The sequence below is a fragment of the Homo sapiens genome, chromosome 1 (genome assembly GCF_000001405.40).
Source record: "Homo sapiens chromosome 1, GRCh38.p14 Primary Assembly".
NCBI lineage: Eukaryota > Metazoa > Chordata > Mammalia > Primates > Hominidae > Homo > Homo sapiens.
In genome coordinates this window covers 237,462,645-237,490,155 of record NC_000001.11, presented here as the reverse complement: position 1 = coordinate 237,490,155, position 27,511 = coordinate 237,462,645, and the positions used below count along the sequence as shown (strand labels likewise).

The 27,511-nt window shown below is 37.7% G+C and overlaps 1 protein-coding gene and 1 non-coding gene across 19 annotated transcripts in view; both read right to left on the bottom strand.

The window, feature by feature from the left end:
* Positions 1-27,511, bottom strand: part of RYR2 (ryanodine receptor 2) — a 791,805-nt gene that overhangs the window by 343,833 nt on the left and 420,461 nt on the right. For all 18 annotated transcript variants that reach the window (XR_007062490.1, XR_002957299.2, XM_006711802.4 and 15 more), the window contains one exon: positions 20,969-21,064. Coding sequence is in view for 16 of the 18 variants with exons in the window: in XM_006711802.4 (XP_006711865.1) it covers positions 20,969-21,064 (96 nt within the window). In the remaining 2 variants the exon portion in view is untranslated. The remainder of the gene's footprint in view (positions 1-20,968; positions 21,065-27,511) is intronic.
* MIR4428 (microRNA 4428) lies at positions 18,965-19,037 on the bottom strand. Its single transcript, NR_039626.1, has one exon. It is a non-coding gene; the product is annotated as a microRNA 4428 (primary transcript).

Here is a 27,511-nt window from a genome sequence, read left to right as displayed (position 1 = left end):
TGCTATCTTTATGTCCATGAGTACCCCTTGTTTAGCTCCCACTATAAGTGATAATACGCTGTATGTGGTTTTCTGTTCCTGCATTAATTTGCTTAGGATAACAACCTCCAGTTGCATCCATGTTGCTGTAAAGGACATGATGTCAATCTTATTATGGCTGCGTGGTATTCTATGGTGTATATGTACCACATTTTCTTTATCCAATCCGTAGTATTTCATGACGCATAGGTACCACATTTTCTTTATGCAGTTTACTGTGGATGGGTACCTAGATTGATGACATGTCTTTGCTCTTGTGAATAGTGATGCCACGAACATTTAAGTGCATGTGTCTTTTCGGTAAAACAATTAATTTTCTTTCAGATATATACCCAGTAATAGGCTTCCTGGGTCAAATGGTAGTTCTCTGTTAAGTTTTTTGATAAATCTCCAAACTGCTTTCCACAGTGGCTGAACTAATTTACATTCCCACCAACAATATAAGCCTTTTTTCTTTTTGAGATGGAGTTTCGCTTTTGTTACCCAGGCTGGAATGCAATGGCACAATTTCACTTCACTGCAACCTCTACCACCCGGGTTCAAGCAACTCTCCTGCCTCAGCCTCTGGAGTAGCTGGGATTATGGGCACCCACCGCCATGCCCAGGCAATTTTTGTATTTTTAGTAGAGATGGGGTTTCACCATGTTGGCCAGGCTGGTCTCGAACTCCTGATCTCAGGCGATCCGCCCACCTTGGTCTCCTAAAGTGCTGGGATTACAGGTGTGAGCCACCGTGCCCAGCCTGACTTTTTAACAATAGCCAAGTGTGACTGGTATGAGATGGTATCTCATTGTAGTTCTGATTTGCATTTCTCTCTGGTGATTGGAGATGTGGGTAGACTATTTTTCATATGTTTGTTGGCTGCTTGTCTGTCTTCTTTTGAGAAGTGTCTGTTCAAGTCTTTTGACAATTTTTTAATGGGGTTATTTGGCTTTTGCTCGTTGGGTTATTTAAGTTCCTTATAGATTCTGGATATGAGACCCTTGTCAGACGCATACTGCCTATTTTTATAAATAAAATTTTATTGTGTATTCTATGCACCTGCATTTACATACTGTCTATGGCTGCTTTCACACTACAAAGGCAGGGTTGAGTGATTCTAACAGACCTCATGGTCCACGCGGCCTGTAATAGTAACTATCTGGCTGCTATGGTCTGAATGTTTTCGTCTCTCCAAAATTGATATGTTGAAATCCTAACCCCCAAGGCAATGGTTGTCACGCGCGTCCGTGAGAAGAGTCCACCAACAGGCTTTGTGTGAGCAACAAGGCTGTTTATTTCACCTGAGTGCAGGCGGGCTGAGTCTGAAAAAGGAGTCAGCGAAGGATGGTGGGATTATCATTAGTTCTTATAGGTTTGGGGTAGGTGTACAAAGTACATTCTTAAGGGCGGGGGAGAATATTACAAAGTACCTTCTTAAGGGTGGGGGAGAATATATGTATCAGTTAGGGTGGGACAGGAGCAAATCACAATGGTGGAATGTCATCGGTTAAGGCTATTTTCACTTCCTTTGTGGATCTTCAGTTGCTTCAGGCCATGTGGATGTACACGTGCAGGTCACAGTGTACATCCAGCCTTTGGGCTCAAAGGCCTGACAATGGTATTAGGAGATGTTCCCCTTGGGGAGGTGATTAGGTCATGAAGGTAGAGCCCTTAAGAATGGGATTAGTGCCTTTATAAAGGAGGCCCCAAGGGAGCTTGCTGTCCCTTCCACCATGTGAGGACGAACTTTCTTTGAGAAAGGAGGCCCTCAGGATGCCATATCTGCAGGAGCCTTGATCTTGGACTTCCCAGAATCTAGAACTGTGAGAAATACATTTCTGTTGTTTATAAATCACCCAGTTTGTGATATTTTGCTACAACAGTCCTACTTGACTAAGACACTAGCCTTTTTCAGAAAAAGATTGCCAATCGTGGAATACAATATAACCATTAAGAAAAAAGACCAAGAAGTTAAGACGAAGACCAATAAATTTTCGTGCTAAAATAAACACTCATGAAGGCCCATAGAGTGAATAAACTGAATATATTAGAAAAGATATGACCAGATTTTGGAAGTAAATAGCGTATGTCACAAAGTGCAAAAATGGCTATATGAAAACAAATCCCCGATTTTTCTCCTATTTAGCCTAGTCTAATAGAAAGCTTTCAGAATTTGGGGTTTAACATTAAAACAGTTTCTTTGTTTTTCAATTCTATCAGGTCAGATCCAATAAATAAATAGTTGAAAAACATTGACAGCTTCTAATTCTATTAATTATAACAATAAAGTCAGAGAAAACACGTTTTATTTTCAATTTTATTGGAATAAACTGAAATATGCAGGCATATTAGATGGCCAATACCTCAAGAATAACCCTGGTTTATTGGAATAATTTTTTTTTGAGATAGGATCTTGCTTAGTTGCCCAGGCTGGAGAGCATTGGCACGATTATAGCTCACTGCAGCCTCAAGCTCTTGGGCTTAAGCAATCCTCCCACCTTAGCCTCCCGTAGCCTCCTGAGTGGCTGGGACTATAGGTGCATGCCACCATGCTGAGCTTTTTTTTTTTTTTTTTTTTGTAGAGACGGGGGTGGTCTCATTATGTTGCCCAGACTGGTCTTGAACTCCTGGGCTCAAGCAATCCTCCCACCAGCCTCCCAAAGTGCTGAAATTATAGTTGCGAGACACAGCACCCAGCCTGAAATAAATTTGATTTTTAATTTTATTGAAATAAACAGCAAATGTGCTTTTGTATAATAAAAAATTCTTAAAGGACAACAAATGAGAAACACCAAAGAGTCCATTTTTAAATAAAAAAAGGAATAGGTATACAATATTATGCGTATATTTAAATTATGCTGATATATGCTTTGAACACTTGGATGAAAAATGATGCAGAGAAACAGTGCTTAATGAAGATTATAATATCAATAGTTACAATCATTTGACCACTAAATTCTAAATACATTCAATAAGACCAAGAAATAGCTATAGTCGTGAAGCTTATGGTTAGATTCTCAAATTTAAAAGCTTGGCAGATCATAACAGTATTATGGAATGAAAGAATTATAAATATACTACAAATTACTTAAAAAAATTTCAACTAACTACAACTAATAATGCAAAACAATTGAATTTTATGTTTTAATAAGTTTATAGAAATGATTTGAGAGAACCTTTTAACATCATAGAAATATATAATAATCAATGTAACTTTTTAAGAGTAGATCCAAAATAACATATAGATTATAATTGCAACTATGTAAAATATATTCATTTGTATAAAATACATATTTTAAAAAAGACCAGAAGTTATTACCTAAAAAGGTTAGTCTTGGTTATTGCTGGATTTGTATACTTCTCTCCCAATATTTCATAAATTCTGTGAAATGAGCATGCATAACTTTTATAGTAAGAAACGTATTTTAAAAGAATCATAAAACAATAGGAAGTAATGTCTACTTACATTTTATTTCTGCCACTAAATCTCAATACTTAGTCAATTCATGCAACTTAATGAGGCCTGACAACAAAAGGCCAGTAACATTAGCTGCCTTTCCTCTCTACAGTATATAACTATAATTAACTTTTAATCTATGGAGTCTTTTAAGTCTTATACTTCATCCAAGTTATATAAACTTATTTTCATTCCATAAGTTTGGAATAAGCATAAACAAAAGCTACCAGTTGCTACACAGAGAACACACAAATTACAGTACTGAGAGTTTATACTAGAATTAAGTATTGTACAGCAATAAACTAGGGTTGGTCTCAGGGTACTGGCCATTTAACATGCATGATTTACCTTAGTAGTGAGGAGTTACAAGAACTTAGGTTGACTATTCCAAGTTGATTTCAAATATCATCTCCTAATTATCTTCTGGACATTTCAATGAGAATGTCTCTAAGTACCCCCAACTAACTTTTTCAAAAGCTGAACATAACACCTTTCTTTGTACGTATATATGTAAAATTGCTTCTCTCATCCATCGTGCATCCATATATTCAAGCTAAAAACCTGAAGTCATTTTTGAATCCTCTTTCACTTTCTCATTTTCCTAAATCTAATTGTTAAAATTCATTAATCCTGTGTCCAAATTTATCTCCTAAACTCATCCTCTCCTTTCACTGAATAGCCTCTTACTATATCCTCTCCTCCAGTTTCTCCTCCCTCCCCAACCCATCCTCCAAACTGTAGGTGGTTATGCTGAAACACACATTTAATCAATGTCACTCCCTTGCTTAAAATCTTTAATGGCTTCCCAGACCTTCCAAGGTCAAAGTCCACTCCCCTTAGCATAGAATATCAGTCCCTAAACCAGATAGTGCAACCTTCCTTTGCAGCCTCAATTCCTGCCGCTTCCTCCCACAAACAACAATTAATATGTATACCTACATATGAATCATATATATTTATTAAGCACCTACCAGGCACTGTTCCAAGGAATGGGATCAGCAGTGAACCAGACAGGCAAGGCCCTCTTGAAACTTATAGGAACTTGCCCACCTTCAATCCTTTGCTGATGTTATTCTCAGATCTAAATACACTCCCACCGTCTAAGACTGCAAAATCTCAATCAGCTTGCAAAGGTTGAAAGTTACCTCATTTGGTGAGTCTTTACCAATGCCCTGAGATGAATTAATTATTCCTCCTTTTGTAGTAACAAGCACATTCACATTTTTAAAATTCTCATTTCAATCCCCCATTACAGAACGAGCCCTTGAGAGCAGATATTGATTTAATTTTGCCTCCTTGTCACCCAGCTCACTCTGACCCAGGGAAGGTCATCTCGTGTTTGCCAAATGAATAAGTGAATGAATATAAATGGACTGTTGGTTCTCACATTCTGTTTAAACAAAATAAATCTGCCATTTATTTATTTACTCATAACAAGATTCATAATTGTTAAGTGTAAATAGAATAACTGAAATACTTTATATCTGGAGAATTTCATTTAAAACCGTTATTATTTTAAATGTAGAAAAGACAGAGGACACAACATAGGGAATTTATATTTCTTAGTGCTAGGATTTCCTTATCTGTGTTTCAATTTGAGGAAAAATTTTACTTGGTGAATTCGGCAAATTTCTGTGCTGTTTGTTTGTAGAACACAAAATTGAGGCTGCAGGCACTGCATGTTTAATACGTGCAAATATTTAGCCATTTGCCTTAAAACTTTTATGGTTGTAACTGTGAATTATTTATGTTCTCCCGAGAAAGGAAAATCTCCAAGGATGTAACTAAATGTCTAGAAATAACTTAATGGTATTGGGAGCTGTGGCCAAGTGCTGTGATGGGTAGAGAATATTCCTTATCATGTTTTTTGTAACCAAAAAAAAGTGGTCCTGTTTGCTTTTTACTGATAGACTTAGACTTTTGTTACTTGACTTACAAATCTGTAGGAACTTCATTAGAGATCAAAGTTGACTTTGCTATTGTATATTCACAGGTCACAACTCAGGCTGTCTGAGGTTGAACAAAATTTGTTGAGAATCTGTATAGAAAAACTAGAAACAAGCCACAGGGCAAGAGTGCTCTACGTAGGCTGACTTTACCTACCAAGAAGAATCTAGCCTGGGGATTTTGCCCCATCGCAAGTAGGCATAAGCTTACATTTGGGAGAAGAAGTGAATGGAATTAGACTGGTAGCCACACAGGCACAGGAGGCCAACGTGGGGACAAAGCAAGCCATGACGCTGGTGCTCCCATGATCACTGCAGAAAGCCCAGGAAAACCACAGACTTAGAAACCACCATGCCCCACCCCCCATGGTACTGTTTCTCATCTATGGTTACAACTGTTTTGCAAAAATAAAACACAGTCAAAATCATCCCAGAACACCAAGATGTATGTGGATTTAGATGGAACCTAGTTCTCTATTCATGAAGGATACAGGAGTGTGATTCTGCTCTGGGAGAAGGAAAGTCTCTCTTCCACCTCTATTTCAAGTAGGAGTAATAATACTGGACAAAAGATTACTCCAGAAGGAGCACCTGGCCCCACCTGAAAATCATGACATGGAAACCCTTTCGTCTAAGCTAGAGGTAGGCAAACAGGAAGACTCCGGCTGAGTGCTAATTAGTAGGAATTGAACTGCCCCATGTAAAGGAAACAGTGGAGATACAGTGCCAGTCAAACAGTTTGGCGGTGTCCACAGCAGATCAGCGAAAGAAGTCACAATCAGAGACCCAGTGAATTAATTACAAATTATTCAAACCACAGGTATTTGTTTGGGGATTTTTTTCCCTCCTACCTGGGAGTCGAAACCTGTTAGAGCTTTTTTGGTCAGAACCTTTTTATTAATATCTCCAGATTTCACTGACATTTCACTGAAAGTAGGAAAATTTGTCTTTTAGCTCTGAGTAATTAAATAAAGTGACATAACGAGTAAAAAGATGGGGAAGTAAACTGGGAAATGACTAGAAAGAACAGGGAAACACACAGAACATGAACGACATTTGCATTCCTAAATGAAATAACTTAGGGATGTGACAGACCATCATCCTTTCAGAAGAGTAACTGATTGGCAGTCTTGGTATTTACAAAATTTAATGGGGAAATATCATAGTAAGAGGTATCATTATTATTCTATTGTATTATATACTGGTGATAAGCATGGATGTAAGCCGATGTGCCTAGTTTTGTGTCCTTGCAGGTTTTTAGCAAACTATTTAACATCTCTGTGCTCCAGTGTCCACCTCTATGAAATGGATGTAATAATGGTGCCTGGGAGAGGAGAAATTGTTATGAATAGCAATACATGTAAGACATTTAGAACAGAGCTTGGATCAAAGCAACGTGATGTAAGTATTTGCTATTATTTTATGGTTGAAATAAAATAAGGCAAATGAAACAAAGATCAACAGGGAAGAATTACCAATATGCTCCTTTGTGGAGCAGTGATGATAGTCGTAAGAGGTAGAGAAATGCTGAATGGACAACACTGATCAGAGGAGAATTCAGGGGAGATATCTATGAATCAGCATGAAGACATGGAATCAAAGTTAGTTTGATTCAAATAAAATCAGGTAAATTAGTAAATCAGGAGAAATTAAACCAGCCTGTTAGACCTTGGCGAGAGACACAGCGAGGCACAGAGAAACAAGGAGGGCAAGTGGGCAGAACCACAGAAAGTTTTGCATTCTTGAGATTACAGGAGAGCTGAGTCAAAAATGCAGTGAAGGATCATCAGAGAAATGCAAATCAAAACTATAATGAGATATCATTGCACTCCAGTTACAATGGCTTACATCCAAAAGACAGGCAATAACAAATGCTGGCAAGGGTATGGAGAAAAGGGAACCCTCCTGCACTGTTGGTAGGAATGTAAATTAGTACAACCACTATGGAGAACATTTTGGAGGTTCCTCAAAAAACTAAAAATTGAGCTACTATGTGATCCAGCAATCCCACTGCTGAGTATATACCCAAAAGAAAGAAATCAGTATACCGAAGAGATATCTGCACTCCATGGTGGTTGCAGTACTGTTCATAATTGCAATGATTTGGAAGCAACCTAAATGTCCGTCTGCAGATGAATGGATAAAGAAAATCAGTATATACACACAATGGAGTACTATTCAGCCATAAAAAAGAATGTGATCCAGTCATTTGCAACAACATGGATGAACTGGAGATGAGTATGTAAGTGAAATAAGCCAGGTACAGAAAGACAATCATCACATGTTCTCACTTATTTGCGAGATCTAAAAATCAAAACATTTGAGTTCATGGACACAGGAAGTAGAAGGATAGTTACCAGAGGCTGGGAAGGGTAGTGGGGGGCTCTAGAGGAATGTAGGGATGGTTGATGGGTACAAAAAAATAGAAAGAATGAGTAAGACCTACTACTAGATAGCACAACAGTGCGACTATATCCAATAATAACTTAATTGCACATTTTAAATGTACAATTAACTCTTTAACTTAAAGAACGTAACTGGATTGCTTGTAACTCAAAGAAGAAATGCTTGAAAGGGGATGGATAACCCATTCTCCATGATGTGCTTATTTCACATTGCATGCCTGTATCAAAACATCTCATGTGTCCCATGAGTATATACACCTACTATGTACTCATAAAATTAAAAAAGTAGTGAAAGTTCAACTAAGACTTAGGGTTTAATAAATGCTAAAACAAAGCATAAAGCACCCCTGGTTAACAGGAGTGTCTTCTTACGAAACCAACATCATGAAAAAAGAAAAACATGCAAATGAAGTAAGCAGCAGTTTGCTGTAGAGAAGACATGGTCTAGCTAGTTCCATGTTGGCACAAGATCCAAGGAGTTTGGGAGGTGGTTTTTTTTTTTTTTTTTTTTTTTTTTGCTACACAGCAATGGTGAGGCTGTAAGGGAAAGAATCTGAGTTATGTGTAAAAGCAGTAATTTGTATCTGGGCCTGTGCATCTGAGAGGGTTCTGTAAAGGCACAAATCTGTTGTTTTTTTCCACGAGTTTAAATTAAACTGCCAATGAGTGATAACTTACGCATTGCATCTAAGTTGTCTTATTTTCAAGAGTAAGCACAACCATGAGGGAAAATGAGAAAGTAGGAACTATAGAAACGTCTAGCTTGAGCTAACTGGAAGCTTAGTTTGCTCTTCCTACCAAGGAGAATTGGGTCTACCCAAAACAAATAGCAAGAGTTGAATGATGAGTCAATATATAGCATAATTACAACACATCTTTTTAAATGTTTGCAGTGAATTTTGTGTATCACAAACTGAATCACCACTGAGCCGGAGAAAAATGTTTTTGTTTGTTTAAAATGGGTATAAATTTGAAGTCAAGAAATCATTTGAGTCTCAATATAAGATAAACTGGTAAATTATTTTTTAACTTTTTATTCTTTACATATAATCAGAAAGAAAAGAAAAAAGAAGCAGTGCACATTTTGCTTCCTGTTAACAGGGGGTTAACTCATGAAATAAATACATTACTCTAAATAGAGTTTCCGTAAGTCACAGAAATAGAGAAAAATAAATTGATATGAATATATATATGTGTGTGTATATATATATATATATATGTATATATACACTTAAAAATAACAATTCCAAGAGATTTGGGCTCAAGCCAAATTACCAAAATACATAATTACATATGCTTCATATTTTTATGCTGGTTTTGTGGCTAAAGAAGAAAATAAGCCCATTAAATCTTGAGCACTCATAAAGCTCCAAAAAGGAGAAAAAAGCAACAGAGGTTAAAACTAAAATATAACACGGCTTGGCAAAATTAAGAAAAGGAGAGAAAAATAAATAAAAATGGAAGTTAGTGAAGATAAAAGGTGGATCACATCATTATCCATATACAGAATGAGGGAATATCGTGGATGCATTTGCAAAACAGACAAACAAAAATGATGGACCAAGAGTCTTTTATTAGAAGAAAAGATGAATATGAGTCAGGAGTTTGCTGGAGTAAATTAGCTGAAATAAAACACACAAAATGAGCACTGTAATTATAATGTACTATGCAGCCTTAATTAGGCCCCTGATGGTTTGCTGCCTTCAGTTTAAGGAACCATGATTTATAAAAAAATAGACAAACTATAGAAGTTAAAGTCCAGTTAAAAGAAAAGAGAATGTCAACTAAAAGCAGTTCATTATACAACAAGTAACGGTATTAGAATTTTTATGCTATACAAACATTTATTTGTATAAATTGCCACATCTCAAAACCTAAGAAAATGTTGAATGCCAGATAGGAAATCATTAATACTTCAAGATATTCTTTTTTTTTTTTTTTTTTTTTTGAGATGATCTTGGTTCACTACAGCCTCTGCCTCCCAGGCTTAAGCGATCCTCCTGCCTCAGCCTCCCAAGTAACTGGGACAACAGGCGCATGCCACCACACCCAGCTGATTTTTGTATTTTTAGTACAGACGAGGTTTCACCATGTGGGCCAGGACGGTCTCAAACTCCTGACCCCAACTGATCCACCCACCTCAGCCTCCCAAAGTGCTGGGATTACAGGCATGAGCCACCATGCCCCGCCAGATATGCCTATCTTGCTGTTAACAATCATGGTTCTGGTTTTCTGGGGGTCTCTTTCATTTATTCATTCATGCATCGCTGAGTACATCAAATGGACCATTCACTGTGTTAGGTCCAGGGTTTGAGCAAAATGAGGAGCAAAATTGGCCTCATCCCTGCTCTCATAGAGCTTACAGACAGACTACAGAGGTTCATTCCTAGGTTCATTAGTTTCCTTTTACCTTGAAAAGGTGACATCTGAGCTGTGTAGCCTCAGATTCTTCATTTGTAAATGGAAATTGTAATAAAACCTACCTTATAGAGTAACTGTGGAAATCCAGTGGAGTAATGCATATGACACTGTCAGCACAGTGCCCTAAATTCACTTGAGATTTCCTTCGTTGCACAATTAAAAACTACGCAGTCATTATAATGTTCAAAAGTCTAAGACTCTGGGTCTCCCTGTGAAACGTCAGTACCCACAGAAATGCTGGCAGATGTAACTGTTTGCTCTAAAGCCTTACTCAAAGGTTTACAAGACATAAACACCTGAGAATTTTTTAAGATGGATCCCCTGGAGCAAGTTCTTCCAAAAGATGTGTACCTCAAAGCAGCAAATATTTATTGAGAGCTATCATTTTGGGCAGAAATGTAAACTGAGCATAGCATCAGCTTCATCGTTACATCAATTTTAAAAGTTCTCCTGCAGTATAAAGACAAACCAAGCGCATCATTCCCAGTGATCGCAAAGAAAACAAATAAAGGTGCATAGAATAGTCTAGTTGTTGTAGTTAGCAAGTGTAAAGTAAGGGGAAGGAAGGAGAAAGGTTGTGCAATACATTGACAAAAAGCACAATTTTAGATAGGGCACTGTGTGCAGAATGGTATATAGTTGTGAGATATATCAGTATGTGTAGGGTGAAATACAACAACTTAATGCATTTCAAAGTGGATGTATTTTTGGAAAACTGAGCAAATCACTTCAGACCTGAGAATATGAGAAAGTACTACCAGAAGACCAAAACACTTTGTGATTTAATGAAGAGTAGTATTTTGAATCATTCGCCACTAAGCCTGCATCACCCAATGTAACTCAAGAGAGGGGTAGTAAAGCCACAAGGGAGGCTAGGTGGGTTACGAAGCCTCCAGAAAACACTTTCACTTTCACTGAAATTCTACAGATCTGCAACAATTGAACTTGCCTATTTACATGAGAGAGTTATTCTATTTCTTCATCACATTCAAATAACATACAGTGCACACTCATTCCATCACTATCCATCCCGCTGGCCCCCAACTGAGACATTATCTATTATGAAGGGAAAGAGCATGAAATTTGCAGCCAGATGGTAAGCGAGGGTAGGGGGGTCCCTTAAGGCCTGCCTCGGTGGCTTACATGCTGTCTGGCCTTGGAAAGACAATTTCACCATGTCTCAGTTTCCCAGCTGTGAAATGGGAATACTAATATTATTCACTTTATAAAGTTATTGTGTAGATTAAGTAAGTTAATATATTTAAAGAGACTAGAACAGTATCCAAAACATAGTAAAACTTGTATCAGCCTTTGCTATTATTATGCGTTTCCATCTGAAATTCTCCATATCATATCTTAGCAGTGTGAACATGGGAAAACCTTGCTTTTAATAAATCAAATTAATCTTGTAGCTACCAACAACTGCTAAATCCAAAAATAAAAGGTGCTAGGTGCGTACTGTGGTATTTTTATACATTTAATTTAATAAGCACATTTGTAGTGTCACTAAGAGCACTTTGAGGCAGATATTTTTACCATTCCCATTGACAGGTTAAAAAACGGGAAGCACAGAGGAGCTAAGCGACTTGGTCAAGGTCATACAGCTATTATATAAACGGTGGAGCTGGGATTGGACTTAGGCCAGTCCAACTCTAAAATCCATACCTGTAACCTATGAGCTCTGCTTCTCCTAAACATAGCAGCAAAGAAGATAGAAATAGAATGATTTTAAAATGAGCTGCCATTTCTGATGAGTCAGTCTTGGTAGGGATGAACCCTGTTTTTGATAATGAAATAGTAGGAAACTTTGGAACAGGCCCTATTGCCCACAATTAGGACATTGTATCCTAATGGGCTGACTACACTCTGAGACCTCATCCTGGTCACCTCTCTCCAGAGCAGGTACCTTTCATGGGTGCCAAAGCACCTCGGCTAATATCCATCAAGACTACTTTCACTATATCACACTGACCCTGAGGGGACTGCCTGGACAGTGGTGCACCCTGCCTCGATACTGCAGATGGAACATTTGGGTGGGTGGCAAATGACTTCCCTCTTTTGACTACTGTGTTCATATGCTCCCACTTTAAAAGCTTAGGACTAAAAGGGCCATCAAGAGGCAAGTTGGCTTGAGAAGATTGAACTAAGTTACTCACAATGCAGAGAAGCACCTCTGAACTCAGACCCACACAGAGGCTTTAAGCCATGACAATGTACCTTAGGTAGGTAACAGACACTTAAACTTGACGGAAAGCAAGTGACACAATGCAATTACTTGACCAAGGGTGATGCTAAAAATATTTAATAACTAGAATGGTATGAGCAAGATGCAATCAGACCAGACAATGGTAATAAATAGCCATCTGTCAGTAACAGTGCCTAAAAGCCAAAACTTCAGTTCTGTCCCTGACAATGAAACTTAAGCTCAGTTCCCAAAGGAGACTAGAAACAGGCCAGGTGGATGTGCAGTGCAAATCACATCACTGCTTGTGATGTTGTTTTCTTTTCTTTTTTTTGAGACGGAGTCTTACTCTGTCACCAGGCTGGAATGCAGTGGTGTGATCTCGGCTCACTGCAACCTCTGCCTCCCAGGTTCAAGCGATTCTCCTGCCTCAGCCTCCTGAGTAGCAGGGACTACAGGTGCGCACCACTACGCCCAGCTTATTTTTATATTTGTAGTAAAGACGAGGTTTCGCCTTGTTGGCCAGGATGGTCTCCATCTCTTGACCTCGTGATCCGCCTGCCTCGGCCTCCCAAAGTGCTGGGATTACAGGTGTGAGCCACCACACCCGGCTGATTTTGTTTTCTAATAAGCAGTTTTTCTCAAGTAAGCCCTTAATGGATTTGGTGGGTTTTACGAGACAAGACTTCCTCTTTTATTCCTCTGGCTAACTAAGATTTTTGTGGAATGCCACCCTAAAGGGCTATGCAAAGGGAAAATAAAATCAGAAAAAAGTAGTGAATGAGCACAGGTTGCTGGTATCCCACCTCCAAACTAACCCTGGAGAAAGTCAATAGTGTTGCCTGAATTGTTGGTACTACTCAAATCAGTTAGCTATGATTTCTGCATCACTAATAATGGATCTCAGACAATAAATATCATGTGAGCTCTTGTTCTTTCTAATTCAATTGCCCACACTTAAGTAAATATCAAGGAGGAAAACTTCCTGCTACACAAGATTATGGCACAATTTATTTCACAGCTTACAACTTTTTCATCTTTGAAAAATGATGAGCTTATACTCTGCAAGAAAGAATTATAAGGACTTTGGAAGCCTTAAACCATCCTATTTACAGGTACCACAAGTTGTTCTGTACATGAGCATGAAGCTTTGATATCTGGAGACCACTCAAAGACTCGTTCTTTTTTTTTTTTTTTTTTTTTTTTTTTTTTTTGAGACAGAGTCTCACGCTATCACCCAGGCTGGAGTGCAGTGGCGCAATCTTGGCTCACTGCAACCTCCACCTCCCAGGTTCAAGCGATTCTCCTGCCTCGGCCTCCTGAGTAGCTGGGATTACAGGCACCTGCCACCATGCCTGGCTAATTTTTTGTATTTTAGTAGAGTCGGGGTTTCACTATGTTGGCCAGGCTGGTTTCAAACTCCTGACCTCAGGTGATCCACCCACCTCAGCCTCCCAAAGTGCTGGGATTACAGGCATGAGCCACCACGACCAGCCTCAAAGACTCCTTCTTTGGCTTAAACCCAGACAGGACTTCACTCACTGGCACTTACTAAGAGAGGGGAAGAAATGGCAGGAATGCCAAAGAGAGACCACTTTCATCACTGCAAAACTGTGCAGGGAACAGACTACACAAAAAGTCAAACTCAGAAATACTCTGTAGCCTCCTGACTAGCAGTTTTTAGTCAGCTATCTCTTGCCCCCAAATCGTATTTCAAGGACTGAGAACATCCAGAAGAAAATGCCACCATTCTGAAATACATCAACTCAATCAACTGTACTTACTCATACCAATCTTTGTCTTTTCAATTAACTTTGGCCCAGCGACATAATCACTAGACACACTTGAAGTCAGGGAAAATATGTGATTTATCTTTCATTCCCCAAATGAATTCAGAGTGGTCATGCGTATGAACTGATCAGATACTCTTAGTATACATAGTGACTGGTGTCACTGGTGCTTTCACCACAAAAACTGACAAGTATCTGAGGTTATGGATATTTAATTAGCTTGATTTAATCATCCTATATTATATACATACATCATAACATCACACCGTATCCCACAAATCTATACAGTTACAGTTTGTCAATTTAAAATAAATTTTAAAAAACTCCCTTGGTGTTGCTAATGTGTCTCTGTATAATTTTTGCTTCCACTTCCACTATAAATGATTTATTACTACCACCACCCACACTTTTTCTTATTTCCTAACTTTGGGGCCTCAGATCATTTCTCACCATGGTATTTAAAAATGTAAATATAATTGGGGAATTTAAGATTACACCAGGAGGCTCAAAGAAATTAAGATCAAGAGAAAGCCTATGAAAGCCTGCTTAGAAATTTTAGCTTATTAAAAGATTAAAAAACCCCACAAAAACAGAACCCCAAAATAAGAGAACACCCCATCAATATAACTATACATATTTTAATTTCCATTCATAATCTCATAGTCAGTAAGAATCTTTAGAGAACACAGTGGGGTGATTAAGATCAAGGATACTGATGCCAAACTGCCTGGCTCCGGGAGCTGGTTCTGTGTTAGCTCACTTATTGAATTTCTCTGAGCCTTAGTCCCTTCATCTATTAAACAGGACAATAATGTTACCTAACCTATAGAGTTGTTAGAATTAAATTATTAGTATTTGTAAAGCATATAAAATAGTATCTGGCATACACACGTTTATTAAATGTGATCTGTCCATCCAGTAATTTCAGTTAGATTCTTACAAAGTTGCCTGGCTGTAAATATTACACATTGTAAGAGGCCTTTTATCAACATGGTGTTCAGCTGCAAGTAAGGGAAAGTCCTACTACTCTGGCTCAAACTAGGAAGGAGCCAGACAGTCAACAGCACATGAGTTCCATGCCATCGACCACTCAGGCTCCTGCCATTTCTCCTTTCCTCAGTCCCTCCTTCCTGTGAGGTGTCTTCTCTTATGCTGGCAGATGGCTGCAGCCTACCAGTTACTGCATCTTTGTTCCAGGCAAGAGATTGAGGTAGGGCCTGAGTCTTTCTCCTAGAAAGGCTTTCTTTGGGAAGCAAAGCTCTCCCAGGGAGTTTAGCTGATATTACAGGCCAGAATGGGGCAACATGGGCACCCGCAGTTTTAAGTGAGGTTAAGATTTTGAGAATTTTGCTTTTCAGCTTCTAAAACTAAAGAAGGGAGGGAAGAATGTGGTTCAAGAGCACTAGGTTAGGCAATCTACACAATCTTCTTCACAAGCCTTAAATATGTTTCTGGTTGTCTGTAAAGGTATTCACTCTGACTTCTTAATCACTGTGGTCCCAGGCATATATAGAACATTGAGTGGGAAAGGCTTGAGGTAAAACCAATTACGTTGTCAGGAAAACTGAAACTGTTTCAAACCCCTTGCCCAACAGGTAGGGGTATGCATGTACATATGTATGTATGTGTGTGTGTGTATATATATATATGTGTGTGTGTGTGTGTAGGTATCTATACATATGTATATATCTATACATATATATGTATAGATCTACACACACACACACACACATATATACACACGTACATACATATTTATGTATAGATAACTCCCTTCTGTGGCCCTCACACACACCTACACACAGCTGACAGTCAGGGCTGACGGCAGCTCAGCTTCCTGCACCTGTCAACTCCCGGAGCCTCTACTCCAGCTTTGCCGTTTGTGTTTCTACTCACACGTCTTTCCCCTTTCCATATTCATCAGCTTTTTTTCCTCACTATTGGCAACAGAAATGACAGGAGCTATGATTCATGACAGTGTAAAATCATATTTGGAAGTAAATTCATGAAATGTTGAAAAGATACTACTGTTTGTAATAATATTAGAGAGAGGTCTGTCTATTGGCCATGTAAATGTAGAGGTAATGCTTGTCATTATCAGTATCTCCGTCGGTTGAGTCCTACCTCAATCCTCTTGCCTGGAGTAAAGATGCAGCAACCTGTAGGCTGCAGCCATCTGCCAGCATTAGAGAAAACAACGCACAGGCAGGGGGCACTGAGGAAAGGAGAAATGGCAGGAGCCTGGGTGGTCGATGGCATGGAACTCAAGTGCTGTTGACTGCCCCGCTCCTTCCTAGTTTGGGTCAGGGTAGTAGAACTTTCCCTTATTTGCAGCTGAACACCATGTTGATAAAAGGCCTCTTACAATATGTAATATCTACAGCCAGGCAACTTTGTATGAATCTAACTGGAATTATTGGACGGACAGATCTAATTTAATAAGTACATATATGCCAGATAGATAGATAGATAGAAAGAAAGAAAGAAAGAAAGAAAGAAAGAGAGAGAGAGAGATGGAGTCTCGTTCTGTCGCCCAGGCTGGAGTGCAGTCGTGCAATCTCGGCTCACCGCAACCTCCGCCTCCCAAGTTCAAGCGATTCTCATGCCTCGGCCTCCCCAGTAGCTGGGATTACAGGTACCTGCCACCATGCCTTGCTAATTTTTGTATTTTTAGTAGAGACAGGGTTTCATCATGTTGGCCAGGCTGGTTTCAAACTCCTGACCTCAGCTGATTTGCCCACCTCAGCCTCCCAAAGTGCTGGGATTACAGGTGTGAGCCACCACACCCGCCCACCAAATACTTTTTTATGTACTTTACAAATATTAATCATTTAATCCCCCTAACAGCCCTATCGGGTAGATAACACTATTGTCCCTGCCACTAAATTAGTGGTAGAATGTAAAGAATAATGGAAAAAGCAATTTAAAAAAAAAAGTAAAAGCAAGGTGGAAAAAATAATTGGTGTTACTGTTCATTAGACCCTTTCTTCTCTATCCTTTGGGTCTAATGACTTCCCATTTGCTATTTATCACAAGTTTTGACAAGCAATTCCCTGTCCTAGAGAACCCAGTGTTTTACTCTTTTTCTTTCCTCTAATTTGAACTCCTTGGTCACCAAAGTAAACAGCGGTGTACATATTTCTACAGCCTATGCGTGCAAAGACATATATACATATTACACAGGGTTTTTGCCCCTTCTTTCCTCTTTTCATTTATTTCTTTCTACTTTCATCTTCACTTTTTTTTTTTTACAAAAATATATCCTATCACACATTCTAAAAATGAATTTTCACTTAAAAATATATTCTAAATCTATTTCAGGATATACATCTAAACAATTCTTTGCAATACCTATAATATAGCTGAAAATGTTGTTGTAATATAATTTAACTATTCACCTATGATTCATCACTTCATTTCCAATGTTGTTTTTTAAGGCAATCCTAGGCATTGTTCTGCATCTGGCAATGGTAAACGAGGTGTTTCAGGCCAGCCATCAACCAAAACAACCAAGGCACTGGGGACCTGCCAAGGCAGTAAAGACTAGAATGGTCTAGATCCCAGGAAGACAATTAACCCTACTTTTGATCCCTTTTCTACTCAAGAATTCTTCAGTTTGAATCTGCAGCTAGGGCACTAACGAGATGAGGAGAGTGTGTGTTCAGCAACGTCAGACTTATTACAGAGAGGAAAAAAATGATGCATATGTATGCACTTTGTAAAGAGCAAAGCACAATTGAAATAAGTTATATACATACACATGTGCATCTCATCATTGTTACTGCCTCTAAAAACTAAGCAACACCACTTCCTCTGGAGAAAAAACAGTTCATTAAAAGCATAAATGTTAACTACAGTAGAAAAAATTGTTCAGCAAAATATATTTTAGATACTTAAAAAACAAGAGCTACAAAGTATCATGGTCATATTGCAAGTCTGATGCTAGGGAGCTGAGTTTTAACCTTGGCAGTAACAATAATTTTTCTAAGATTTTGAGTCAGTCATTTAAATGTTCTTTGCCTCAGTTTCTTTTCCTCTAAAGTAAGAATGTTAGATTAAATATACTCTAAGGGTCCTTCTTTCCCTTGACTTTCATTATGTTATCTCTGAGCACAGGGCTTCCCTTTTCATTAGGAATGCCTGCAATCAACAGATTGACTGGAAAAAGACAACAGCAAATAATAATTTGTATCTGATGAAACTGTGCCTGTAACTGACAAAACTGAAGACTCTGAAAACACTGGACTGTACTTGGTTGACCTTAAAGGATGCTTGGCTCTGTTCATGTCTTTTCTCTCTCTGTTTTCCAGTTAAGCATTTCGCTGTGCAGTTGATTCAGCCAGTGTTAACACTCTGCTCTGAGGCTGCCCTGCACCTATCTCTTTACAGATACCACTGGGTCCAGCAGAAGACATGAGCATTTTTTAAATGTCTTCTGTAGCTTTCCAGTGATTCTGGACACTTGGCCCTAAACATTTATCCATTTTTGTAATCTATGCCACCATCTTGTTACTGATACAGGAGTTAAGGAGAAATTATTTAGGCAGATAGTGAGGGTACAGGAGTCCTTGGTAAGGTTTACCTTTTAATGAAGAGCAGTCCCAAAATCATGTTCTTTTCTAACAAAGAGCAGCCTGCAAAATCGAGCTGCAGACATAGAGAAGCAAGTTGGAAGCTTCCACGGGTGAATGCCAGCAGTTGTGCCAATAGGAAAAGACCACCTGGGACTAGGCATGTTCAAAATGGCGGCTCCATGTTCCCGTCTCCTTGCCAGCCACGTGTACAGTAAGGAGCAGGCAACATGGCACCTGCCAAGTGGAAAGCCTGTTTGCATAAGATTAGGGTGGAGCAGCCAGCCTTCCTGGCCAGCCTTCCTATGCAAATGTCATACCGAGTCCAACCAATCTTTGGGCCCTATGCAAATCAGACACTGCTTCCTCAAGCCTGCCTATAAAATCTGGTGCACTCTGGTGCAGGCCAGATTTCTCAATCGTGATCTCTCTCTGTCTCTCTCTCTCTCTCTTTCCTCTCTCTCTGTCTCTCCTCTCTGCCCCTATCTCTTCCTCTCTCTTTCCCTATCTCTCCCTCTCTCTCTTTGAGACAGCTGTTCTCCTTTCTCTTTCTTTTGCTTATTAAACCTCTGCTCCTAAACTCACTCCTTGTGTGTGTGTCCATGTCCTTAATTTTCTTGGTGCAAGACAATGAATCTCAGGTATTTACCCCAGACAATGACTTTGCTTCAGTACCACTTATTTGGTCACTTCTTTATGCTAGAAGTTACAGGTTTTTCCTTAATATATTCTGCAATTAATGCACAGTCACTACATTCATGTTATGATACTCTTAACACCCTCATCTCATAATTATTTTTGTTTTTATTACAACAATCTCCATTTCTATCTTACTTCTGCTGCCCAACGATCTAGCAGTGCCCAAGAACTCACTATGACTCAAATTTTTGTCCTCCACTATCTAAACTCTACACATTTTTGTCCTCCACTATCTAAACTCTACAAATTTTTCTCTGTGACTTAAAATTACTCTCTCTGATCATGGTTGTTTCTCTGTCTCTATTCAATTCCAACAAACCTGTCCCTGAGTGGGTCTTTATCATGCAAAAGTCTCAGAACTATTTTGTATGGACAGTGGTATTTTTTGAGTGAATTTTAATGTTCATCCATCCATTCATTCAACAAACAATACTAGACACCTATAGGTGCCAGATGGTATGGTAGATCCGGAAAGAACAAAGATGAATGAAACCATGCCCCTATCTTCAAGAAGTTCATTACTAATGAAGGAAACTGAGAGGAAAAATAAGTAACATAAGAGGGCATTAGTGATAAAGAAAGGCAAATAATGAAATACTGTGCAAACAGATGGAAGAGCAGTAGATTCATTTGGGTGTCACTGAGGCAATCTATGGCACTAGAGAGGTCAATTATGTGTGAGCTAGAGAGCTCTAACAAGTTCAAATAACTGATTTAATACTGGTAAGTCCAAAATCACTGATAAGTCTTCACAGTCATTGATAAGTCTCCACAATACTGAAATAAAACTAACATCTTATTAGAGATGTGTGTATCGGGTTGACTGCCTATAAATATTTTACTATTATACAGACCATTTGTTAGTATTTACTAAATTTCCTTTAAATAAAATATTACACTCTAGGATTTGGAAAATGAACTGTCTCCCCAATCTATCCAAATAATCTTTTGAATACAAGGAAAACAATGAGAACTCCAAACTGATCTTCTTATTTATAGAATAGACTAGCAGTAATCAATTTGAAAAAGAATGAGAATTCTGGCTCTTTAGTGGTTTTCAGGGCTTTATAAATAGGTTTTTTAAGATATAAATGGACATGATATTGTTAGATGACTATTCAGAAATGACTAATGAAAATACTAATGATTTTTCAAGAAATAAAAATACTTAACATAATTTAAAAGGAAAACACTTATATTACACCAAACATCAGAGTTTTTTCTTTTTGTTTTTTAAAGATGGGGTCTCAATATATTGTCCATGTTGGAGTGCAGTGACCATAGTGCACTACAGCCTCAAACTCCTAGCCTCAAGTGATCCTCCTACCTCAGCCTCCTGAGTATCTGGGACTCAGTACACACCACCACACCTCACTCAAAGTTGTTTTTTTTTTTTTTTTTTTTTGTCTTAAAGGATACGAAGCAAAGAAAAATAGGAGTGATCTATCACAACAAGGAAAAAACTAGAAAACATACCTGAAGAAGCTTCCAGTCTTTCCAATCTGCTGATCAACCAGTCGAGGGAGCCAGAAAATTGAGCACAGTTTTTACGATTTCCTCTAATTAGAGCCGCTGCAAAAGAAGAAATAGATTTCACCTTTATGTGATTTTCTAGCTCGAAAATTGAGATAAGCTAATATGCAGCCCTAAAATATTGGATCAAGAACAAAATATCCTCTGTTACATCTAAAAACTTATGCAAACATACATACACGTACATATACAACACTGAGACATTAAAGACAAATTAATAATTATTAATTGAGACTGAAGCAAACCACTGCTCATTAGAAGGAATGTAATTTCGGAAAGTGAATTTCACATTGGGAGGTAATAGTAAAGGGTAATGGAAAAACAGTCTCCTGGGAGTTCCCTCACTTGGGTTCTAATCCCCTTTGCTTTTAATTAGCCATGAGATTAAATTATTCTTCTCTCTCAAGCCCAATTTTCTTACCTATAGAATAAAAAGAGCAAATCAGTTTTTCTGAAAATGAACCACAAAATACTAGGAGATATAACTAGTAATTATAACTCTAACAGGTATACAGAGAGATATAACTAAATGTTACATTAAATAATGGATGAGAAGACCAATAGCCACTAACTTTGAAACCCTTTTATTTTCTTATATCATTTCCGTGGATTTAGAGATTCACAATGTATATTAAAGACCTGAAATTCTGCAGTAAAGAAACTGATTCTAGCTTGGCTTAGACTACTGTTTTCTACACTTCTTTGATTGAACAACCCATTTTAAATAAAACTCCTATGTGACTTTTCTGGTTTCTTTCAGCCTAGTTTATACACTCACTTTTAAACTTTTAATTTTTCAAAATCATTAAATTCTTTCAAAGCAAGCATGGTAAATATTTTCTACTTTTATACCCCTAAGTTTATTCAGAAACAGTATAATTGCTTACAAGAGGATGGCAAGATGTTTAGACAATATGATATTTAAAGAGAGAAAGATGTCTCTATAAGAATAATCACTATTGAAAATCTGGTAGGCCAGGGGTGGTGGCTCACACCTGTAATCCCAGCGCTTTGGGAGGCTGAGGTGGGCGGATCATGAGGTCAGGAATTTAAGACCAGCCTGACCAACACAGTGAAACCCCATCTCTAATAAAAATGCAAAAAATTAGCCAGGCATGGTGGTGGGCGCCTGTAATCCCAGCTACTCAGGAGGCTGAGTTAAGAGAATCGCTTGAACCCGGGAGGCAGATGTTGCAGTGAGCCAAGATCGTGCCACCGCACTCCAGTCTGAGAGACAGTGTGAGACTCCGTTTCAAAAAAAAAAAAAAAAAAGCAGAGAAAATCTGGTAGCTGATGCAAGCGTTTGAAGTAGTGAAGTTTGAGGCTACCGCCTGTTAACCTCCCTGTTAAGAGCAGGAGGGAAGAGACCCTACAGTTACAGTGTACAATTAAACTTAAAGATGTCCTTCATGTTTCCTCTTTCCAAAAATAAAGAAATAAAGTTATTATCTGACCTGAGAGTAAGAAAAGAAACACACAGAAAAGACGCCAACTTCATGAGAAGAGCTTTTTTGTGTATAGCGCCTCTGTGACATTTGTACAGAGATTAAGAGCTAATACACTCATTACTCAGGCTCTCCTCTGGCTCTGGGTCCAGCAGCCTCCCTTAAGAGCCAGCCATCGAGATATACTCACAGACTGCAGAGTACAGGGGACAAAAGATAGGGGTGGAATATAGCAGAGGAATGAGAAGTACTAAGTTCTAAGCAGAACTAATTTTATTCTGTAAGAATATCTGTTCCCAATTTAGAACAATAGCAACTGGGAAAAAGGACATGATAAAGTTTTTGAATTTTAAGAGTCCCTTTTGTTTAAAACTTAACTCATGCTTTTCAGTTTATTTCTGATTTTGTAAAACTAATTTTATATATAATATATAATTATATATAGCTATCTAAAATTATATATAAACTATTGTATTATCTAAAATTATATAGGTATATATATAATATATATCATTATCATATTATCCATCTAAAATGAAAACATATATCATTATCATATTATCTATCTAAAATTATATATATGATATATATAACATAAGTGATTCTTGAAAGAAATTAATAGTGTAAGAATGAACTCTTTTAATAAGCCATGGGGCATTTAAGAAAATTATAAAGTAAGCCACAAAGAAAAGTTCATTAAATTTACTGCAAACAGACATGGTATAAACCATGTTCTCTGACAGAACCGTGTCAGAATTTAGTAAGAAAAGCAGGAATGAAAATAAAACCAAAGCATATAAAAATTTAAACTCTCTCCTTAATAACTCTTGGGTCAATGATGGAATCAATATCATAATATAAAATATCTAATAAATATCAAAAATTAGAATACTACCTAACACAACCAATGGTAAATGGCCAAAAGTGTACTCAAGGCAAAATTAAATAAACACTTTAATTGCTAAGCAATTGGGTGAAAAATGGTAAATACGTCTTTTGAAATAGAGGAAAAGAACATCAAATAAACATCAGTAAAACAGAAAAAAATAAATCGCAATAAAAGTAGAAATTAATACATTAGAAATAAAAATAATTTATATAATAGTAAGATTGATCAAGAATACATTCAAGGACTATTTTTTAAATATAAGCTAACTACCAACTACTACTTTAATCAAAAAGAAAAGGAAAAAAGGACAAAATTAAGAAAAGGGCATTACACCAGGCGTAGTGGCTCATACCTATAATCCCAGTACTTTGGGAGCCAAGGTGGGAGGATCACTTGAGCCCAGGAGTTTATGACCAGCCTGGGCAACATAGCATGACCCAGTCTGTGCAAAATTTTTAAAAAATTTTTCCAGGTTTGATGGTACATGCCTGTGGTCCCAGCTACTTCAGAGGCTGAGGAGGGAAGATTGCTTGAGCCTGGAAGGTCAAGGCTACCATGAGCCATGATATCACCACTACACTCCACCCTGGGTGATGGAGTGAGACCCTATCTCAAAAAAGGAATTATAAACACAACAATTTTATACATCTTTATACTGTAATTTTGAACATCTGGGTAAAATGGTCTCAAGATATAGATACATAGATATATAGATATGTATTTTTTCACTAAAACTGATGCAATAGAAGGGAAAACATCTAAACAGAATAATAAATCATGAGTAATATTGAAATGTCAAAGACCAAAAGCTTTTTCGCACATATTCAATAAATAAGTAATTTCTACACTACTTCATATGCTGCATAACAATGATTTGGTCAACAATGAATCAGATAAAATGATCATCCCTTAAGACCATAAGACTATATTTTTACTGTACCTTTTCTATGCTTATGTACGTAAATACCACTGTGCTACAATTGCTTACAGTATTCAGTATGGTAATTTGCTGTACATATTGCTGTACAAATGTACAGCCATAGGTTATGTAGCCCAGGAGCAGTAGGCCATCCCGTATAGCGTAGACGCGCAGTAGGCCATCCAGTATAGCGTAGCCGCGCAGTAGGCCATCCCGTATAGCATAGCCATGCAGTAGGCCATCCCGTATAGCATAGCCGTGCAGTAGGCTATCCCCTATAGCGTAGCTGTGCAATAGGCTATAACACGGAGGTTTGTGTAAGTTCCATGATGTTTGCAAGATGTATTCCTTAGAACTGTTCCCATGAGTAAGTGACACATGACCGTATTCCAAAGCCAAAAAACTAAGGAAACTTCCCTGATTTTACAAAAGCAGTATCAGTGACATTGATATCAAAGCACACATCACAAAACAAGAGGAACTCTTATAAATCCAAAAATATTATATAAGTTTATATATTAATGAAATTAATAAATCAAATTTAGCAATATAAATTTAGTATTTATAAATCAAATTTAGCAATACATTAGCAACATTTCATCCAAGTGGAGATTCATTCCTCCAAAGAGACAAAAATATATCAGGAAATCTGTTAATGAGTAAAAGATCAAACAATCTCAATATACTACGAAAATATATACATTTCTAATGAAAAAAATTAACTCAGTAAAATAGAGTACCTCCTGAACATCGTGCATGCATGCGTGTGTGTGTGTGTGTGTGTGTGCATGTGTGTGTATGTAGGCGCATGTCATGGGTACCAATACATTTTACAGATAAATGGAGTCTGTGAATTATTATAATTCATCCAGTCAGTTAAGAAGATATCAGTTATGTGAGTTTCTAAAGTAATGAAAAAGTATGCAGAGAAATACAAGGAAGCTCATCACAGCACTCTTTATAACAGCAAAATACTGGAATAGCCTAAATGTGCCTAAATAAGTAAATGGTGACATTACCTCAGCACAGAAGTGTACATCTGCTAAAGTCTGATGAAGGTTTATAGTTACTACCAAGGATAGAGGCCCACAATGTAGAATTAATTGAAAACATCTGCTATAAAAGAACATTGATAGCATGATTCCATTTTTGTAAAGTAAATGTATACACTGAATATAAGTACATGTATAGCATGGAGAAAACTGTGTTTTTTAGAAATTTCTTAGAGAATGATTGCTGATATTTGGGGGGGAAATATCTTGATAAGGGACTGAGATAGAAACAGAGAGCTTGAGGAAGATTGATATTAGTGGGACTGCTTCCCCAGGTCAAAAAGGTACATTTTCTTATTCCAAAATAAGGTGGAAGAAGAATGGACCCAGGAGAGGAAAAAAAAGGGCCATGTCCTGTAATATGATCTTTCACAGTGACCCTTTGAACCAGCAATAAATTCTGTCAAAAAAAAAAATCACAAATGCTCAATAAGAATGGAAGTTAGGATGTGAAGAGAATGGAAGTTAGGATGTGAAGTTAGGATGTGAAGAGATGTTCTGTGGCTACACTTTCACTCTTAGAGAAAAAATAGACGACAATAAAAAAGCACGGAAGTCCAAAAAAATGTAACCAAATAAGCCCCTAAAATGTACCAACATCAAAGGAAAGCCTTTTGACTATCTTAGTCCATGAACCTGGAATTTGGAGCAAGATGAGCAAATCTTCAAGGAGAGGAGGGAATAGGTGATGTCTTGCTGCAAAGATGTGCAGATATGTACACACGTGTTATTCTGCAAGCACGCATGCAGGTGTGCAAAATGTTTTCTGCATGTATTACGTGATAAATATTTAAAGGAACATTTGTAAAGGTTATAGATCAAAATGTGTGGTTAAGTTTAAGAGTAGTTTCTGCCTTCTTAATTTTTCTTATTTCTTTCCTTATCTAAAATGTATTAATTTTAATACCAAATAGTACAATAAAGTTAATGCCTTTCCAAAAATAAAACGGAAAACCATGCCATCAGTATCTGTAGTGGCTTTCATTATGAGATGTCTCAGAGCACCACTGTCATCTTCGAAGTGCAATGGCAACTTGGTATGGTGCGTCAAGGTACAAAAACAAAAGACAAATGTCCCTCCCTAAAACTTTACAATACTCTTTAATTGCTGCCTAATTAAAGACTAAGTTAAGATCTTTTATCTTTTTGTAGAGACAGGGTCTCTTTATGTTGCCTAGGATGGTCTCCAACTCCCTTCCTCAAGTGATCCCACTGCCTTGGCCTCCCAAAGTTATGAGATTATAGAAATGAGTCACTTTGCCTGGCCCCATTCTTTAATTCTATGAATTTAATCATTCTAGATACTTCTTATAAGTGGAATCATGCAATATTCATCTGTTTTATTAGTATCATCCTATCCCCGGAGGCTTCATGCTTCAATGTCTTTGAATTCTTGGACTCAAAATTTCACAAAAGACTAAAAAAATCTGAGACTTACAGAAAAATTTAGATTAAAAGAAATTCCAAGAAATTACCTTCACTTTAAAAATTTATGCAACAAATACTGATTCCCTGCTTTGTGTCAAGCATTGTTCTAGGTGCTGGAGGTACAGAGGAAATGAAACAACATCCCTCTTGGAATTTACATTCAAAGCCTGGAAACACTAAGTGAACAGGCCCTACGCAGCACAGAAAAATGAGGGGCTAATTGGACTAAAATCTAGAAACATTTTTCAAAATATTGAGATTAACAAGTAGATGCTCCTAAGCCTGAAAAAAATAAAACCCATTAAACAAACAAACGAGCAAACAAAACAAAACACTTCAGAATGTACTGAAGAATCTAAGAAGATAATGCATTGAAACTTCTTGGAGAGCTTGGAGAGCTGTCCCTGTGTTTGGGGATCTTGTAAACTGGAGTCTGAGGACTCCTACCTGGGAACTTGCAAGAGTAAGGGACAATGAGACTATCACCAAGCTGAAATTTTAAAGGATGTGTCTTGTTTATACGATACGTTTCTGAGACTTCCTGAAGAACAAGATCGAACTATCTAGATGCACAAACACTAGAATAACACCGATCTGTGCATGTCTAAAGCCCATTTCCTTCTTCTTCACCTCTTGACTGCCTTTTCTCAATGTTTTATGGCATTTAGGGAGATCTGCCTCCTTGAGACACTGGGAAATTGGTTTGAATGTGCAGAAATAATGGCTAATGGCTGTATTCTTTCCAAGTCTTCA